The 19777-nt window shown below is 44.6% G+C and overlaps 1 long non-coding RNA gene across 4 annotated transcripts; it reads right to left on the bottom strand.

Moving 5' to 3' along the window:
- Nucleotides 1-14126: 14126 nt before the first annotated feature.
- Nucleotides 14127-17670, bottom strand: LOC105369964 (uncharacterized). 4 transcript variants are annotated; one of them, XR_945320.2, is made up of 4 exons: nt 16457-17664; nt 15728-15781; nt 15393-15601; nt 14127-14624 (listed from the first exon to the last, which is right to left on the bottom strand). It is a non-coding gene; the product is annotated as an uncharacterized LOC105369964 (long non-coding RNA). The 4 variants fall into 4 exon arrangements; XR_945321.2 differs by lacking the exon at nt 14127-14624 and having other exon boundaries at nt 15269-15601; nt 16457-16528; nt 17617-17670; XR_945319.2 differs by lacking the exon at nt 14127-14624 and having other exon boundaries at nt 15269-15601; nt 16457-16528; nt 17271-17664.
- Nucleotides 17671-19777: the final 2107 nt, after the last annotated feature.

The following is a 19777-nucleotide window of genomic DNA, read 5'->3' as shown; positions in this document are numbered from 1 at the left end:
ACAGAACTGGAATCTGAATGCCAGCCTACCTACTTCCAGAGCCAATCTTCTCTGCCCTTCACTGAGGTTCCTTCCCAGTCAGTCACAGGTGAAAAAGCCTGCAAGCAGAGACAGGAAACAAAAATCCCTGTCCATCTCCCACACTGGGAAGGAAGGTAAAGAGAGTCCTCACCTCTACTTGCAGGTTTCACAGCCTCTCCTGCAACTGCTTTTCTGAGGACAGTGTTATTTCCAACGGTTAATGTCTCCATCCGTGCAAAACCCTTATCAGGGATTGCACAGAGCTTACATTTGTTGCTGTTTTGTGACCCGCACAAAACACATTCCGTTTGTTTATCCTTTTTTATTCTTCAGACCTTGAAGGAAAGCAGGAGGCAGGGAGGGCTCTGGCTGACAGCGACCCCTTTCTCATCACCCACCCCCCACGGGGATGGTGCCAGAGCCCCACTGCCCTGCCAGCCACTGTGGAAAGACAGCGTTCCCCCACCCCAGTAAAGCGGCTCCGCAGTTGCCGGGAGGCCCAGGGAGAGAGATTTTATTTTTTCTCCCTCTTATGGGACTGACAGCTTGGACAGTAGCTTCCCAGAAACAAACTTTATTCTCAGGGAGACGGACGTGCCTGAACCTTGAATGTTTCCAGAATATTTATGGCTTTTCTGTCTGCCCTGGTCTGTTTTGGCCATGATACAAGGTTTCCCGTTCACCGCCTGTAGATGCCTTATTATTGCTCCGCGGGCTCAACTTGTATGTAGCTAGGGCAAAAAACCACTAAGTGACGCTGTTGTCTCTAGTTAGTAACGATGGTGCTATTGCTATGTGTATTAAGCACTGTGATTTGTGGAGTCAGACACTACGTGCTTCACATACATCCAATCATTTCATTCTAACGACACCTCCAAGACGAGGGCAGAGAGGTGCTGAGAGGGGAAGTTGATTATCCAAGGTCACAAGCTAGGAAGTAATGGAGACAAGATTCGAATCCATAAACTAGTGTCAGAAGTTGTCATTGCAAAAGTGCAAAGATACCAACTACCTCTGTCTGCTCAGGGATAATTTTGGGGTTTTTTTGTTGTTTTTTCTCTGAAGTTATATCCTTCCTACTCTTTGAGTATTAAAATGGTATTTCTTTTATTAAATGATGGAGACAGTGGATGTGTTTGTTGTGTTTGTTTCTAGCCCTTAATAATTTTTTTTTTTTTTGAGACAGAGTTTCACTCTTGTTGCCCTGGCTGGAGTGCAATGGCATGATCTCGGTTCACCACAACCTCTGCCTCCTGGGTTTAAGCGATTCTCCTGCCTCAGCCTCCCGAGTAGCTGGGATCACAGGCATGTGCTACCACGCCTGGCTGATTTTTTTGTATTTTTAGTAGAGACAGCATTTCTCCATGTTGGTCAGGCTGGTCTCGAACTCCCGACCTCAGGTGATCCATCCGCCTCAGCCTCCCAAAGTGCTGGGATTACAGGCATGAGCCACCACGCCTGGCCAATAATTTTTAAAAAGAGCCAGACATGGTGGTTCACGCCTGTAATTCCAGCACTTTGAGGGGCCAAAGTGGGAGGGTCACTTGAGCTCGGGAGTTTAAGACCAGCCTGAGCAACATAGCAAGACCTTGTCTACTAAAAATAAAAAAAAACTAACCTGGCATGCTGGCAGGTGCCTGTAGTCCCAGTTCTTTGGGAAGCTGAGGAAGGAGAATCACTTCAGCCCAGAAGGTTGAGGTGGCAGTGAGCTGTAACAGTACCACTGTACTCCAGCCTGGATAACAGAGCGAGACCCTGTCTCAAGTAATAATAATAATAATAATAATAATAATAACAACAACAACATTTTTAAATTGCTATCCTATGTCTTTTCCTCCCACCCCCTAGGCCCTCAAAATCCAAGATCTAGAGCATTTCTCCTGATGATCAAGATATAGTGCTGAGCTTGGTGGAAATTCACTACTAATCCAACAAGAATTAGGTTGGTAACTTTCTATTCTTAGCAATGTTTCTGCCCCACTCCAAAAAAAAAAAATCCAAATATACCTTGAACACTTACTATGCATCATTTACTCCAAAAACAAATGCTTATTGAACATCTACTTTGTGCAAAGCCTTGTTCTAGGTGCTGGAAATACAAGGTGAAGCAAAAGAGGCAGAGCTACTCCCTCAAGGAGTTTACACTCTGCTGGCGGAGATGAGAATGAATCAAATACACACACACACACACACACACACACACACACGTGAACTTGTGAGCTATGAAGGGGAGGTGGGGGCATGCTGTGAGGTGGCTGTTATGTGGACTAGGAGGTCAGGGAAGTTTTTCCCAAGGAAGCCACTTGTGAGCTGAGATCTGAAGAATAAATAGGCATCAGTTAATGGGACAGAGGCAGGAAGAATCTTCCAGGCATTAGGAAGAGCATGAGCAAAGGTTCTGTGGCTGAAGGGAGACAAACACGTCTGAGGCCAGAGCGAAAACCAGTGGGGCTGGAGCAGAGCAAGCAGAGGGGACACAGCATAAGACGAAGTTCAGGAAGCAAACAGGAGCTAGGCCTTGTCCTTTAGGGCTCGTTCAGGGACTTGCTCTTTATCTCGGGAACACTGGGGAACCATTGAAAGGTTTTCAGCCCCAGGCACTTGAGGAGGTTCATTGATCAGATGTGCTCCCATTTTTAAAGATTCCCTTGCTGCAGTGACAGAGAAGAGGTCAGAGGGGCTACAGTCAGTGAGAGGAGACAGATTAGGAGTCCACTGGATGGTACCGATATGATTGTCAGTCACATGGACAAAGGCCAATATTTGAACTGAAAGCCAAGGTGTTCAGGGTCCTGCCAAGCAGAACAGAAAAGAATCAGTTCTCATGCATAGTGCTCTGGTGAGCTGGTGAACAAGTGCAATGCCTTTTGCAAGGGCCTCACCCACCTGCACCATTTCAAGTAGGGAAGCCAACTTGTTGTCCCAGTTTGTCTGGAACCTTTACCACTGAAAGTCCCATGCCAGGGAAAACTCCATCCTCGGAAAACTGGAGGGTTTGTCACCCTAATTTCAGTACCAGGTCTGCTGGATCAGTCAGGGTATACCTGCACCTTGCTCCATTTAGCATTTCATTAGAATGTGCCAGGTGACCCTCAGTGCCTGAACTTGAGATTTTTGCCTTGATTGTGTCCTGCAGTATGCATTAAAATATATTCTCCTTGTAGTGACTGGGATAAGTAGTCTTAGGAGAAAGACACCTTGTTGCCAAAATGCTATTCAATAAACCAGGAACTGGATGCTTGAAATAGTAAAAAAATTCTGAATAATATTTATATAATTCTTATAAAGGAGTCCTATATGTTACTCTATTAGGTTGGTGCAAAAATATTTGCAGGTTTTTGCTAGCAGGTTTTGCCATTACGGTTACATGCTTCAGCTGCAATGAGAGACTGCCTGGGTTTAAATTCTGACTTTGTAATTTACAACCTCCATGAGCTTGCGTTTGTCTTGGCCTGTCTGTGTCTCAGTTTCCTTGTATGTAAAATAGAAAGAATAATAATATTTACTTCTTAGAGTTATGATGAGAGAAGACACGGGCATCCTGCCTGGCATGCACCAGATGTTCCATAAATGTTACCTCTAGGTGTATATTAAGGGACCTTGTCTAGGGAATTGTATGAAATTGATTCCATTAGAGTTTCGCTGTTCAGTAGCCACTACCGGCATGCAGTTACTGACCACTTGAAAGTCTCAACTGAGATGTGCTATATACTGTAAAATACTCTTTAAAGATTTCTTAAGAAGAAGAGAATATAAAATACCTCCTTGCTAATATGTTTATATATTGATTCCATATCAAAATAATAACATTTTGAGTATGCCAGGTAAAATAAAATTAAAATTATTAAAATTAGTGTTGTCTGTTTTTTAATACGGTTATTAAAAATTTTAGAATTATATATGTGCTTTCCATTTGTAGGTTATGTTGTCTATTGAACAGTGCTGGATTAGAGGTCTGGAGGCCAAAAGACAAGAATAATCAACAAATTAGGGAGAAGTGCTACCACCCTTGAAACGCTCCTCTGGAACCACACAAGTCTTCAGTACACACAGCTCATTGATGAAAAGTTGTGCATCACAGTTGCACCCACCCATCCCGAATGAAAAGATCCCTTTCATCAGACATCAAATCACTCCATGTTCAAGTTTGGATTTCCTTCCAGAATTTTAGAAAGCAAAGAGAAATCAGAAAAAGAATGATACTTGGAGAACAGAATTTTCTCTCCTGGCTGTTGGAAACGACACTGTTCTTTAGCCAAAAACAAATGTGCCCTTTCACATAGATAACCCCATTTATCCTCTGAACCCTGGGACAGTGAAGTCCGTCTTCCCACTTTCAAGGAAGTGGGAACCCCCCAGAGTTTGGAAATGCCTCCCAGCTCTGGGATGAGGACCTCAGTGGGTAGCGGCAGGACATTGTGTTCTGTCTCTTGGTGCAACTCCAAGTCTCAGAGGTACTCAAGCTTATTAGCTATGGACATAGACAAGAGACCTAAACTCTCTGGGCCTCAGCCTCCTCATCTGTAAGTTGGAATACATATAGTAACTAAGGGTGTTGTGGCAAGGAATGAATTAGGTAATGTGTGTGATTTGCTTATCACATTATCTGACAAATACTAGGCACTCTTTTGTGTCTGGTTTCTTTCCCTCTATGTGAGATTAGTCCACATTCTTTCATGCAGTTATCATTTGCTCATTCTCAAAGTGGTGTAATATTCCACCATGTAAATATACGGTAGTCCTCCCTTTTCCATGAGGGAATACATCCCAAGGCCCCCAAGGGATCCCAGAAATCAATATAGTACCATACTGTATGTATATTATTTTTTTCTATACATATATACCGAAGATAACATTAATTTAGAAATTAGGCACAGTAAGAGGTTAGCAACAATAACCAATAATAAAATAGAACAAATATAATAGTATACTGTTATAAAAGTTATGTGAATGTGGTTTCTCTTTTTCTCAAAATATCTTATTGTGATATGCTCATCTATTTTCAGACCAAGGCTGACCATAGGTAACTGAAACCTAAGAAAGCAAAACAGAGAGAACGACTGTACCACACTTTATTCTATTGTTGATGGCCACTTGAATAGTTTCAGGCCTGCAGCCGTTATGAATAGTGATGCTATGAACATTCCAAATCATGTGTATTCATGGACACAAGTACATATCGGTGTTGGGACAATACAGGGGGGTCACTGTAAAGTCTAAGAGTGTGGATGTATTCAGTTTTAGGAGATTTTAGTATATCATTTTTCAGAGTTTTGTATCTACTTATCCAAACATCAGCAATGAACGGATTTGCAGTTCCCCCATATCCTCAGTGACACTAGATATTACTAGATATTGAGAATTTTCTTTTTAGTCATTCTGGTGAAAATGTGTTAGTATCTTGTTGGGTTGTCGGTTGTATTTTACTGCAAACTGATGAAGCTGTGCATGTTTTCATTTTTTTTTTTTTTTTTTAGCAATGTGGATATCCTCTTTTGCAAAGTGCCTATTCACATCTTTTGCCCATTTTCTCTTGTTTTTTTTTTTTCTAGATACAAGATATTTGTTGGCTCTGTGTATTATGGGAAGCATTTTCCACTCTGTAGCTTCTCTTTTCACACTCTTAATGGTGTCTATTGATGAAGAGTTCTTTGTTTTAAAAGAGTCCATTATTTTTCCTCCATGGTTAGCACCTTTGACCTAGTTATATAATCTTTGCCTACCCCTAAAGTCATGAAAAATTCTCCTTTATTTTATTCTTAAAGTTTATTGTTCTATCTTGCATAGTTAGATCCACAGTAAATCTTGAACTGATTTTTGGATATAACTGTGAGGTTGAGTTGAAGATTTCCTTATGGGAAATTAACTCAGAATCATTTCTTGAAAAGCATGGCCAAATTCGTTTTTGTTTTTGTTTTAATCTCCATAAGTACTATATTTCAATATATATTAAAATACAAAATGTATGTGAAATATATGTATTCAATATATAGAAACAATATATTTTAATATTTCAGTTGCAATTACTTTTTTTAAAATTTTACTTTAATTTCTGGGATACATGTGCAGAATATGCAGTTTTGTTACATAGGTATACATGTGCCATGGTGGTTTGCTGCACCTATTGACCTGTCCTCTAAGTTCCCTCCCCTCGCCCCCCATGCCCCAACAGGCCCCGGTGTGTGATGTTTCCCTCCCTGCGTCCATGTGTTCTCAATGTTCAGCTCCCACTTATGAGTAAGAACATGCTGTACTTAGTTTTCTGGTCCTGTGTTAGTTTGCTGAGTATGATGGCTTCCAGCTTCATCTATGTCCCTGCAAAGGACATGATCTCATTCTTTTTATGGCTGCATAGTAATCCACGGTGTATATGTGCCACATTTTCTATATCCAGTCTATCATTGATGGGCATTTGGGTTGGTTCTATGTCTTTACTATTGTAAATAGTGCTGCAATAAATGTATGTGTGCATGTGTCTTTATAGTAGAATGATTTGCATTCTTTGGGGTATATACCCAGTAATGGGATTGCTGGGTGAAATGGTATTTCTGGTTCTAGATCCTTGAGGAATCACTACACTGTCTTCCACAATGGTTGAACTAATTTACATTCCCACCAACAGCATAAAAGCATTCCTATTTCTCCACAGTGTCACCAACATCTATTGTTTCTTGACTTCTTAATAATCACCATTCTGATTGGCATGAGATGGTATCTCCTTGTGGTTTTGATTTGCATTTCCCTAATGATCAGTGGTGTTGAGCTATTTTTTTTTTTTTTTTGAGACAAACTTGCTCTGTTGCCAAGGCTGGAGTGCAGTGGTGTGATCTCAGCTCACCACAACCTCCACCTCCTGGGTTCAAGCGATTCTCCTGCCTCAGCCTCCTGAGTAGCTGGGACTACAGGCACACACCACCATGCCCAGCTAATTTTTGTATTTTTAGTAGAGATGGGGTTTCACTATGTTGGCCAGGGTGGTCTTGAACTCCTGACCTCGTGATTCACCCATCTTGGCATCCCAAAGTGCTGGGATTACAGGCATGAGCCACCACGCCCAGCCCGAGCTTTTTTTCATATGTTTGTTGGCCACATAAATGTCTTATTTTGAGAAGTGTCTGTTCATATCCCTTGCTCACTTTTTGATAGGGTCTTTTCCTTTTTTCTTGTAAATTTGTTTAAGTTTCTTGTAAATTCCGGATATTAGACCTTTGTCAGATGGGTAGATTGGAAAAATTTTCTCCCATTCTGTAGGTTGACTGTTCACTCTGATGATAGTTTCTTTTGCTGTGCAGAAGCTCTTTAGTTTAATTAGATTCCATTTGTCCATTTTGGCTTTTGTTGGAATTGCTTTTGGCATTTTCGTCATGAAGTCTTTGCCCATGCCTATGTCCTAAATGGTATTACCTAGGTTTTCATCTAGGGTTGTTATGGTTTTGGGTTTTACATTTAAGTCTTTAATCCATCTTGAGTTAACTTTTGTACAAGGTATAAGGATGGGGTCCAGTTTCAGTTTTCTGCATATGGCTAGCCAGTTTTCCCAGCACCACTTATTGAATAGAAGATCCTTTCCTCATTGCTTGTTTTTGTCAGGTTTGTCAAAGATCAGATGGTTGTAGATGTGTGCTGTTATTTCTGAGGTCCCTGTTCTGTTCCATTGGTCTATATATCTGTTTTGATACCAGTACCATGCTGTTTTGGTTACTGTAGCCTTGTAGCATAGTTTGAAGTCAGGTAGCATGATGCCTCCAGCTTTGTTCTTTTTACTTAGGATTGTCTTGGCTATATGGGATCTTCCTTGATTCCATATGAAATTTAAAGTAGTTTTTTTTCTAAATCTGTGAAGAACGTCAATGGTAGTTTGATGGGAACAGCATTGAATCTATCTATTTCTTTGGGCATTATGGCCATTTTCATGATATTGATTCTCCTATCCATGAGGATGGAATGTTTTTCCATTTGTTTGTGTCCTCTCTTATTTCCTTCAGCAGTGCTTTGTAGTACTCCTAGAAGAGGTCCTTTACATCTGTTGTTAGCTGTATTCCTAGGTATTTTATTCTCTTTGTGGTAATTGTGAATGGGAGTTCATTCATGATTTGACTCTCTGCTTGTCTATTGTTGGTGTAAAGGAATGCTTGTGATTCTTGCACATTGATTTTGTATCCTGACTTTGCTGAAGTTGCTTATCAGCTTAAGGAGTTTTGGGGCTGTGATGATGGGGTTTTCTAAAATAGAATCATATCATTTTCAAACAAAGACAATTTGACTTCCTCTCTTCCTATTTGAATACAATTTATTTCCTTCTCTTGCCTGATTGCCCTGGCCAGGACTCCTAATACTATGTTGAATAGGAGTGGTAAGGGAGGGCATCCTTGTCTCATACTAGTTTTCAAAGGGAGTGCTTCCAGCTTTTGTCCGTTCAATATGATATTGGCTGTGGGTTTGTCATAAATAGCTCTCATTATTTTGAGATGTGTTCCATCAATACCTAGTTTATTAAGAGTTTTTAACATGAAGCGATGTTGAATTTTATCGAAGGCCTTTTCTGCATCTATTGAGATAATCATGTGGTTTTTGTCTTTGGTTCTGTTTGTGTTATGGATTAGGTTTATTGATTTGCATATGTTTAACCAGCCTTGCATCCTAGGGATGAAGCTGACATGATCATGGAGGATACGTTTTTTGATGTGCTGCTGGATTCAGTTTGCCAGTATTTTACTGAGGATTTTTGCATTGATGTTCATCAGGATATTGGCCTGAAGTTTTCTTTGTTTTGTCTTTGCCAGGTTTTGGTATCAGAATGATGCTGGTTTCATAAAATGAGTTAGGGAGGAGTCCCTCCATTTCAATTGTTTGGAATAGTTTCAGAAGGAATGGCACCAGCTCCTCTTTGTACCTCTGGTAGAATTCAGCTATGAATCCATCTGAAGTCGAATACCTGAATAGACCAATAACAAATTCTGAAATTGAGGCAGTAATTAATAGCCTACCAAGCAATCATCTTTTTCTTTGCATCCTGACTTCCCATTGGTTAATTGTCCCCGTGTTGTGTGGGTATGAGACAGCTGAGTTATGGATGTTCTTTGTTGAGGTTCTGTGAGATATATCAATGCGGTAAGCAGCCACTTCAGTACATAGGTAAGTTATTGCTCATCATCCTGGAGTAGGAGTAACTTCCAGGGATACTGTTTCAGTTCAGCTCTATAGAGAGCTAACTGAAAGGTGCTAACTAACACAAAGCTAACTAACACAAAGGTGCAGGGCCAGATGTAATCCCACGATGGGAACATATCCTGTAGTGCTTGCACCAGAACCACGTGGGAAGTGAAGGAGAAATGAATTTTGAAATCAGTGGCACCAGAGGCTCCATTTTTTGTTCCCATGCTAGGATATATAAAACCACAAGAAGCAGACTTTAATCTGATCAAAGGTGAATCAAAATAGAAGTTCTCTCTATTGGAATATACTTGATAGCACAGTGTATGTAATTATAAATGTGCCAAACAATGAGAGTTATAACAAAACCTTTCCTATCATACCAAAAGCAGAAATTCATAAAGAGGAAGAGATACATTTCAAATAGAATCAAAGACTAGGCACGTAGATTGTTCAATAACCAAATTAATGAAGAAGAATAAAGTTTATCAACATATTGCAGGATTATATAAAGTTCTGATTTAACATAAAATGAAGATAACACAAAACTCTTTACATATTTATATTAGTGACAGATTGATTAATGAGTGTCATTACCTCCAGGAGTATTTAAGTTTAACCAGTTATCTCTGTCTCTCTCGCTCTTTCACACACACACACACACACACACACACACGACCCAAAATCCCCAGAAATCTGACAGTTCACATATGTAAGAATCTTGATATAGGGCTTGCCCAAATTTGACAACAATCCTTAAAATCAACATGACATTACAAATAATTATATGTGACACCAATATTTTTTTCTAAACTGTGATTAATAGAGAACAGATTTCTATCCTTCATGATGGAAGAAAACCTGTAATATACTTTTACTCTTTCTATACCAAATATTATAAAATTAGTGCTATCTGTAGGAGTAATCAAACACTATGAAGGCAAAAAATAAATAAATCAGGAATAAAGCATTACACACAATTATTTTAAATGTTATTTTTTCCAAATTTTGTGATGTCAGTCACATTTCTCAGTTTTCTTAAATTGATGGCTTTTGCAGTTTCTCCTCTAATTCTAAATAACTATTCACTTTTGAACTGAAATTTTACAATTTTTTTTCTTAAAGCAGTCCACAAAACTGTGGCAGTTTTGAACCCTATAAAACATGGATTGACACTTACAGCCAGCCATCAGTTCATCCTGCCCCCATCCACCGTGCCTCATCCAAAGATATAATCTCCTTCACCCCATAGTCTCAGCTGCCCCCAAAGTACTCAATACCTATGTGCCCAATGAACAGCCAAGGCTTTTTAAAAATTATTATTAACAAAAGTGGAGAGGAAGATATTTCTGACATTTTGTTGAGGAAGTTGCGATGAGAGTGGCTTTGAACTTATAACCCTGAGAGCAGCTGATTTTGCTAACCTTTGGGATAAACTTGACCATGAGTACTAAAGAACAAGGCTACAAGTTGGGGATAATTCAGGATTCTCCACACTCATTTTGTATAAGCCTGCTCTAAAGGGCTCTGAAGAGAGGGACCAGGAGGGAGAAAAAGTTGCAAGTGCACCGCGGAGGTGAGAAGCTATGAAAACCACCAGGAGCCCCATCAGCAGGTGTGGCCTGAGAGCTGAGAGTTCATTGACTGGACCCCCTGCTGCCCAAAAGCTCCCTCCTAACTGAGCTGGATGCTAAAGTTATATATGGCACTTAGTAGCAATAAGAATGTGTTGATTGAACAGATAATGCTACCAGTTGAGATATGATTCTTTCGTTCTTGATATCTTATGGTCTTCAAGAATCCTCTACAGTAGTGATGCTAACTTAGGCTCTAGGAAGCCCTGAAATTGTATGTAAAACGTAGGCATGAATGTGTTTTTCTGGGGGAAGTATCTATAGAGTTCGTCATATTCCCTACAGTGTTTAAGGCTCCAAAGAAATCTTGAGTTATGCTCCATCTGTCCATGTCCAGCTAAGGGCACTGCCCCTGCTCCCCAGTCCCCCAGTGCTCAGATGCCAGGGCAGTAGAGGGCTCTGGGGCATACATCAATGGTAACTAAAGAAACAATACTCCTGGAAAAGATAAACCACCAATGATAGGTGGCAGCACTGCAGAACCAGAAGGGACCTTAGGGATGGGCCTGTGTGATTAAGCCAACACACCCAAAAATGGGACCCTTGATAAGACAAGTGGGAGAATCTGTCCTCCACCTTCCCTTTTATAGATGAAAAAGGGTCCCAAGACCAAAGTGCTTATTGTATAGCCTACAGCAGTTCATTCACTGATTCAGCCAACATTAGCTGAGACCCTCCTCTATGGCATGCTCTGTGCTCAGTGCTGGGGACACATGGGCGCTGCCCTTGAGGTTCCCAGGGGAGTGGACACATGACAAACTGCCCATGGAATAGGTCTGTCATATTCATCTCTGTATTCTGCAAGCTTCGCCCAGTAGTAGGAGCTTAATAAATAGCAACTTCTACTGGCATTATTGCAATATTATGTCTCTGGCATTTTAACTTGGACAAAAAGCTTTGTCAAGTCACACCCTGTCCAGGTATTTGCTGTGTAACCCTGAGCAAGTCACATCATCTCCCTGAGATACTATTTCCTCATATGTAGGATGGGAACATACATCATGGGGGCCTGTGGGGGTTACCGGAGCTAATCCGTGAAAAGAGCTCCACAAGTTACAGTGATTGAAGTTTAAATCATTACCGTATGGCAAAGAGCCCTGGTAAGCACTCTGGTCTCCAGTCTGCCTCCTGGGAAAGGGCTGACCAGCTCACCTGTCTCTACCAAACTAGGATCGAAGGAATTAGAAATGGTGGTGCTCAGGTGGGTGCAGAGCAGCATCTAGTGGACTAGAAGGGGAACTGACGAAGTGTCAGAATGGCATTGGGAAGAGAAAGTTTGAAGGCTGGGACAAAGGTTGACAGAGGAGCCAGGAAGGAAGCCTGCATGCTGGATGTCCCCAGCGGGGAGATCAGATGAGGTCCCTTAGAAGTCAACAGGACCTCAAGCCCCCATGTGCTAGCTGAGGGCGTCCCTCTTCTACACCCAAGCCTCCCTGGGTGCTGGGTCTCTGGGTCCTGTGGGCTCAGGGGCCCATATTTCTCAAGTTCTGCTCTGTGTCCAGCTGAGGGCACTGACCCCACTGCCACAGTCCCCAGTGCTCAGATGCCAGGGAGGTAGAGGGCTGTGTGCCAGGGCACAGCCAAGGCATCCTCCACTGCTCTGGGCCACAGGTGGGCAGCTGAGCCCCACATCCCACTAACACCAGGTCCTGGGATTTCTGGCTCTGCCCATTTTTTCTCTCAGCCTCCATTCCAACCACGTGGATCAGCAAGGAGGAGCACCATGCTGTCCCTTCACCTTTGTCCATCCTCCTTTTCTCCCCGTCATCTTCTGCAGAGGAGATCCCAATAGGAGCCCCTCACAGAGTTATGAAGGGCAAATGGGATAACTCAAGTAAAGTGCAAAGCAGGTACACAGTAGTGCTCAAGAAATGGGAGCCACTACTACATCTTCATCATCACCATCAGGACAGGCACACGGTAGTGAGTGCTCAAGAAATGGAAGCTGTTACTGCATCTTCATCATCACCATCAGGATAGGCACACAGCAGTGCTCAAGAAATGGAAGCCAGTACTACCATCTTCATCATCACCAACACGACAGGCACACAGTGAGTGCTCAAGAAATGGAAGCCATTACTGCCATCTTCATCAGCACAATCAACCAGAGAAAGAGCCCACTATGTTTGAGAAAAGCATTTATATGTTGATAAAAATTTCCTTGTTATATTTATCATTTACAGTCAGTAGTAAGAACATTAAAAAGTTAAAATATAGGTGCCAGATGTTAGTTTCATTCCTGTGAATTTATTGAAATAACAGACAAGTAAATACAATTCTATTTGTCAGTGAAAAATATTTTTTAAAATCTTGTCAAGTGTAAATTTTACTAATAGGGTAAGTCCTCACCTAATGTCATTAACAGATTCTTGGAAACTGCAACTTTAAGTGAAACAATGTACTACAACACCGATGTTACCATAGGCTAATGGATATTAACTAGAGTTAAGTTTCTACAGGCATATTTCTGGCCACAAAAACATCACCAAACTTTTTTTTTTTTTTTTTTTGAGATGGAGTCTCGCTCTGTTGCCCAGGCTGGAGTGCAGTGGCGCAATCTTGGCTCACTGCAAGCTCCGTCTCCCGGGTTCACGCCGTTTTCCTGCCTCAGCCTCCCGAGTAGCTGGGACTACAAGCACCTGCCACCACGCCCAGCTAATTTTTTCTATTTTTAGTAGAGACGGTGTTTCACTGTGTTAGCCACGATGGTCTCGATCTCCCGACCTCGTGATCCGCCCCCCTCAGCCTCCCAAAGTGCTGGGATTACAGGCGTGAGCCACCGCGCCCGGCCAAACATCACTAAACTTCTAAATGAAGACCAAAACATTTCTAGTATTAAACATTGAAATAAATGTGAGCTATACATACACTTAAGAAAGATTAATAAAAACAAGTAAGATAATCATTAACCCAGTAATTCCAATTCAGGGTTGCAGGTGGCCACAGCCTATCCTGGCAGCTCAGGGCACAAGGCAATAAACCACACTGGACAGGATGCCATCCCCTCACAGAGCACACTCACACCCACACCCACACTCACTCAGATGGGGCCATTTTATTTATTTTTTTTGAAACAGAGTCCCTCTCTGTCACCCAGGCTGGTGAGCAGTGGCGTGATCACAGCTCACTGCAGTCTTGACCTCCCAGGCTCAGGTGATCCACCCACCTCAGCCTCCCAAGTAGCTGGGACTACAGGGGTGCACCACTACCCCCCGATAATTTTTGTATTCTTTGGAGAGATAGGGTTTCACCATGTTGCCCAGGCTGGTCTTGAACCCTTGGGCTCAAGTGATCCTCCCTCCTTGGTTTCCCAAAGGGCTGGGATTACAGGTGTAAGCCACCACACCTGGCCCAGACTGGGCCCATTTAGACATGCCAATTCACTTGATGTGCACATCCTGGGAATATGAGAGGAAACCAGAGAGCCAGAGAAAACCCATGAACACATGGGGAGAATGTACAGACTGCACCCAGATGATGGCCTTGGCTGGGAATTGATTTTTCTTTTTCTCACCAACATTATAATGAAACATTTTAGTATTATTCCAGGACCTGCTGTACAGTAACTTTAAAGGACTGAAGAGCAGAAAACTGACATTTATTGACTGTCTACTATTTCCAAGAGCTACCATTCCCAGCCACTTTTTAATCATCACCACAACTTTATAAGGCAGGGATTATTAGCCCCGTTGTTGGAGAGAGGCTCAGAGAAGTGAAGTGACTTGTCCAAGGTCACACAGCAAGTGAGATGACCAGAACTTAAACCTAGGTCTGTCTGAGTTCAGCCCTTCACAAATCACCATGCTGCCTCCCTCTCTTCAAAACATAAAGCAAACAAATAAAACAATTCACTATTTGCCTGGGAAATTGTTGGCAAGAGCAAGACAGGATTGGAGGAAAATGTATTCCCAGACATACTGTAAACCTCCTGACTCCACTGGACAACTTCTTTTGGGGCCTGAGAGCAACAGTTGCTGGGATTCCCTTCATCCACCACAGCATCAGGTGTGGGCCAGGGTCTGGTTGCTGAAGGGTCCAGCCAGAGGTCCCAACCATCCCATGTCTGTGCCACCCCTGGTGCAAGGGACAGTAGATTCTCCCAGGCAGGAGCAGAGAACCACTGGGACTAACATGCAGGCACCGGAGAAATGGATTGTGTGTGTGTGTGTGTCTGCTCTGTGTGTGTGTATATATATACACACATATATGTGTATATATACGTATATATACACATATGTATACACACATATATATACACACATATGTATATATACACATATATGTATACATATATGTATATATGTGTGTGTATGTGTGTGTGTGTGTATATATATGTCTGTTTTTCTCCCTCTTTTCCTCCATCCTCTCTCTCTCTCCATTCCTTCTTAGCCCTGTCCCTGACCCTGTCCTTCTGCCTCCCTCTCTATCTTCCTCTCCCTCTCCCTCTTGGTTCTCTCCCTTCTCACTCTCCCCTTGAATTGCTCCCCCATCTCTGCTTCTCTCTCTACTTGCTGCTCCATCTTTCCCAAATGTCCTCCCAGTGTCCAGGGCAGATGTCACCACTCAGTTCCCTAGCTTACATACCCTCACACACCATTCCTGCACAGACAGACCAGCATTCATAAATCCTAAGTCTTAGTTCCCGGGAGAGAAGCAAGAGTGGGCCCAATGCGGGTCAAGGGTCCACCCCAGGTCTTCTCGGCCATGCCAAAAATTCAGCTGCCTCCAGGAGACTCTCCATCACCTTCTCCTTCTTCTCCTCCTTCCCATCACATTCCAATGAACTCCACGACCTGCACAGGATGAAGGCAGGTCAGGACCTGTGTTTTGTCTAGGCTCGAAGCCTGGTTAGGCCCTAGCTCAGTGCGTGGACTATGGAGCCAGACCACATGGGTTCAAATCCCACTTCAGCAACTTACAAGTCGGTGACCTGGGCCAGGGGGTTAATCCTTTGAGTGTCTCAGCTCCTCCATCTGCAAAACAGAGATAAGAATAGTGCCCCCTCCTCAGAGCTGTTGTGAGGATAAAATGCAGATGAGTATATGCGAGGAACTCAAAACAGCGCCCAGCACACAGAAAACCCTGTGTTGTCGATCACCATCATCTTTACATGATGACAGAGGCAGAGCCCAGGCAGCCCCTCAAGAGGCCAGTCAATACCCTCCAGGAACACATGTGCAGTGGAGCAAGTTGGGTTTATTACTCCTTGCAGGGACAAAAAGCATGCACCATGGGGGAACTGTGGGGTGTCAGTTTTAGGTTGGTCATTTGGGGCTAGGTGTCAGTAAGCAGTGGCTCCATAGTGATTGGATGCTGCCACGAACCCACTGGAAGGAAGAAACTCCGGATACATCTGAACATCTGAAGGAACAAACTCCGGACACACCATCTTTAAGAACTGTAACACTCACCACGAGGGTCCGTGGCTTCATTCTAGAAGTCAGCAGACCAAGAACCCACCAGAAGGAACCAATTCCGGACACACCAGGGGCAGATATTACACTATCTAGTTCATGTAGGGGGCAATGTCTCCTCATGCAGCAGGAAATGGGGAATGATGGAGGCCCGTTCCAGGACATGCTAGGAAATTCCCAAGGAAGTGGGGGCTATGCCCAGGGAGGTTGCATAATCTTGAGCAAATCACTTACACATACATCTTCGCCCATTCTCCAAGCAAGCTTTGCTTTACAGGACCCCTGGCAGCCATTTTTCCTAGCAGCCTTAAACAGAGGAAATTCCAGCTCAGAAAACTCAAATTTCAATTTTTGAACATGAAAATAGCAGGAAGGACCTGGAAGGCCACTTACAGCAGCCCAAAGAGTGAGGAAGTTAGATGCTGCCTGGAGGACTTCCCAGCCCTCTCCTCAGCCCAAGGAGAAGAGGATAAATCCCTCTCTGCCCCACACTGTCTCCTTCCCTGTCAGCAGAGGAAAGCCTGCTGGAGAAAGAATGGAAGGTGCCCCTTACAGGGCTGGGCAGAAGCAGAGAGGATTTATTCCAAGGGGTAGCCTCGTCCTGCAGAAATGGAGCCCTCCAGGGATCTGGATAGACTCCTGGGGACAGGCTAGTGCCTTCTTAGAGTGCAGCCTTTAACCCTAGGGGGACTGGGAGGAGGAAGTGCAAGACGCCTGGCAGGTTCTGCGCTTCCAGGATGAGCTGCTTCCAAACCATGAAAACATATCATCATTTGAAAGGGATGTGGGGCTTCAAGGCTTGTAGATGGAATACATATGACAACCATAACATAAAGAGCCACATGAATGTATATGACTGTTAGGCTTTCACATATTACTCGAGTTGGTAAGATACACCTCTTATTAGACTGAAAAGTGTGGCATAAATATTCTAATCCCCAGAACAACCACCTAAAAATAATTCCATACACATTCAAGACAAAATGGATAAAATGAAAAGTCCTATGTCAAGGAGATAAGACTAATGCAACCAAAACCATCTACATACAGGTTATGGGTGAATAAACATCCACCCAGAAGTTTTCATTTCTCTTGGGCAAATACATGGAACAGGATTGCTGGGTTATAAGGGAAGCATGTCTCTCTCCACCTGTCCTCCCCACCACAAGAGACCCCGTCAGAATCTGTTTAGCCCTTGAGGGGCTCTTCCCAATTCCGCTGGAGAAAGGGCAGGACATCTCGAGGGTGCTGACCCCAAAGCTGCCACCTGATGGCGCAGCAGTTCTCGCCCTCCTAGCCCAAGGGATCCCCGTCCTACGCCGTCCCCTGTCAGCGCTGGGGCCCCAGTGCGGGAGGGCCAGCTGCATTTCCCCATGAGCCTGTCTCCCTCATACCAAACACCCTCCACCGGCAGCTGCCCCCTGTGCACATTCCTAGGGTGATCTCTGCCCCCTCCCTTTCCTCCCCGGTGCGCCTTCCTTGCGGGTTCCATGAGCATGCGCGCCCATTCTTGGCTCACACATTCCAAAGGTGCATCCCAGCAACAGGCCCAACAGTGCAGGATGAGCCTTTGGCTGAGTTGGCAGCCAAGGAGAACTCGCCAACCTCGCTGTGCTGCCAAGACCTGACTTGACACTACTGCTCCCCTTTGCCCGTTACCCGTGAAAGCTTTGCTCCACAGCGCCCCCTGCAGGGGGCTGGCAGGGCAGCTGGCTGCCTGCCCTTGGCCCGTTCCTTGGCTGCCCCGGCTTCTGCACTTACCCTTGGTCCTGGACCAACTCCAAGAATTCAGTGACTTTACACTGGCTTTTCTTAGAGCCTCTTGGAGACAACATCCTAAGATACTGCAGACCCTGTGTTTTGTTTTTGGTTTTGAAGGCCCTCTGAGGGCCCTCAAATGGACCCTGAGGAAATGGATACCTGAGCAGGACAAGGACCTTGGAGTCACAGAGGTTCTCGATAATTAGAGAAAGGGGCCTGATGATACTGGGGGTGCACAGATCACATTTAGGTCCTTGAGGGTCAATGGAGGCCTCTCTTCTGTCGTGCCCAAGTCTGGGCCTCTGCAGAGAGACCTCCATGCCCAGAAATCAGAAGTCAGATTGAACAAGAAATCCCAGCCTTTCTAGGTGAGCTCCTGCCCCCAAAATGCTGTCTCCAGCTCACACAGCACCACAGGAGGTTTCCCGCCACTGAAGAGGAGGAGGGGGCCAGCCTCATTCCTCTCCCGGCTGCCCCTCCGGAGCTCAAAGACAGTGAGTGAGGAGGGACCCTGGTCTCCCTCTTTGGCTACAGAGGTTTCCCAGAGGAAGATCTGGAGTGAAAAGGCAGCAGATGCAACACAAGGGCAGAAACTCACCTCCAAGAATGGCTCCCTCGCATCCACAGTACTGGCCCCTTCGATGCAAGTTTCCTCTGCTGCCATGCAGGCGAGGGGAGCCTCTGACGCTGTACCTCCCTCCCAGCTGGGGTTCCGACTCACGGCTGAAGACCTGGACCTGGAGAAGGAAACAGTGCTGCTATGCATCAAAAGTGCATTGTGGGGTGAGGCCAAGGCCATCCGGGACTGGGGAGCCTTGCAGCCTTCCCATATTTTGCCACCACCTGCGGCAGCAATGGCTCCTCTGCCCACTGCCTCTCCAGACCCCCTCCACCCTCTGGGACTAATGCACAGGAGGAGGGACGCAGGACGCAAGACTGCCCAGGCCCAGTAGCCCTCCTGGAATCTGCTGCAGTGGCTACCTCTATGCCTCCTGTGTCTGGGAGGAAGCACAGCTCACCAGGGCCCCTGTTCTCCCCCTTAGAGCTCCATCCAGTCACCTCTTCATACTTCCTGGTCTCAGCCTTGCTGACCCTGCTCCCTCCTCATCATCAGGCAGATACAGAGCACTGCAGCAAAAAAGAGAGGGGTCCCAAGCACCACACACTTCGTGGGGGAAGCTTGGGCCTGAACAGCAGTAGTCCCTGTAGCCAGAGCACCCAAACCATGGGACCCAGCGCCAGGAATAATTGTTCGCAGGCACTGTTGCCCATGCTTTTTAAGCCACATCCCTAGAGGGCTACCCAAGCAGAAACCCCACATTTCAAGTTGGGGGCCTAATACCACTTGCAAGCAAGGCTGCCCCTAGGTGCATGCCTGCGCCAGCCTCTGACCCTAGGAACCGTACTTCCCATGTGGGCACAGAAAGGCAGAACCTCACCTTTAGGTCTCCCTCATCCCCTGTCCAGGGTTCTGCAGGGCCTTCCTCCTCCAGGTTGGGTTCCACTCCCTTGGGGTCCAAGAGGGAAATGCTGGTCTGAGAGGAGAACTTCCTGGAGCCAGTGCCCACCCATCCCCCCAGGCTGGACTTTGTGTGAGCCTGTTTAGTTGGGAAATGCAAGGCTAGCCCCTACCTCTGCCATCCTGGAGGGCTAGAGATATAGCATTCCAGTCCCACCCCTTCCCTCGAAGCTTTAGTCTGAAAGTAGGTAGTTTGAGGCTCTTAAATTGTCCTATCCCAGTGGTCAGAGTCCTCATAGCAATAGACAGAGGTAGCATTCCAGTCCCACCCCTTC

The sequence above is a fragment of the Homo sapiens genome, chromosome 12 (genome assembly GCF_000001405.40).
Source record: "Homo sapiens chromosome 12, GRCh38.p14 Primary Assembly".
NCBI lineage: Eukaryota > Metazoa > Chordata > Mammalia > Primates > Hominidae > Homo > Homo sapiens.
The sequence above is the reverse complement of the archived record's forward strand: the minus strand, read 5'-3'. Positions and strand labels throughout refer to the sequence as shown.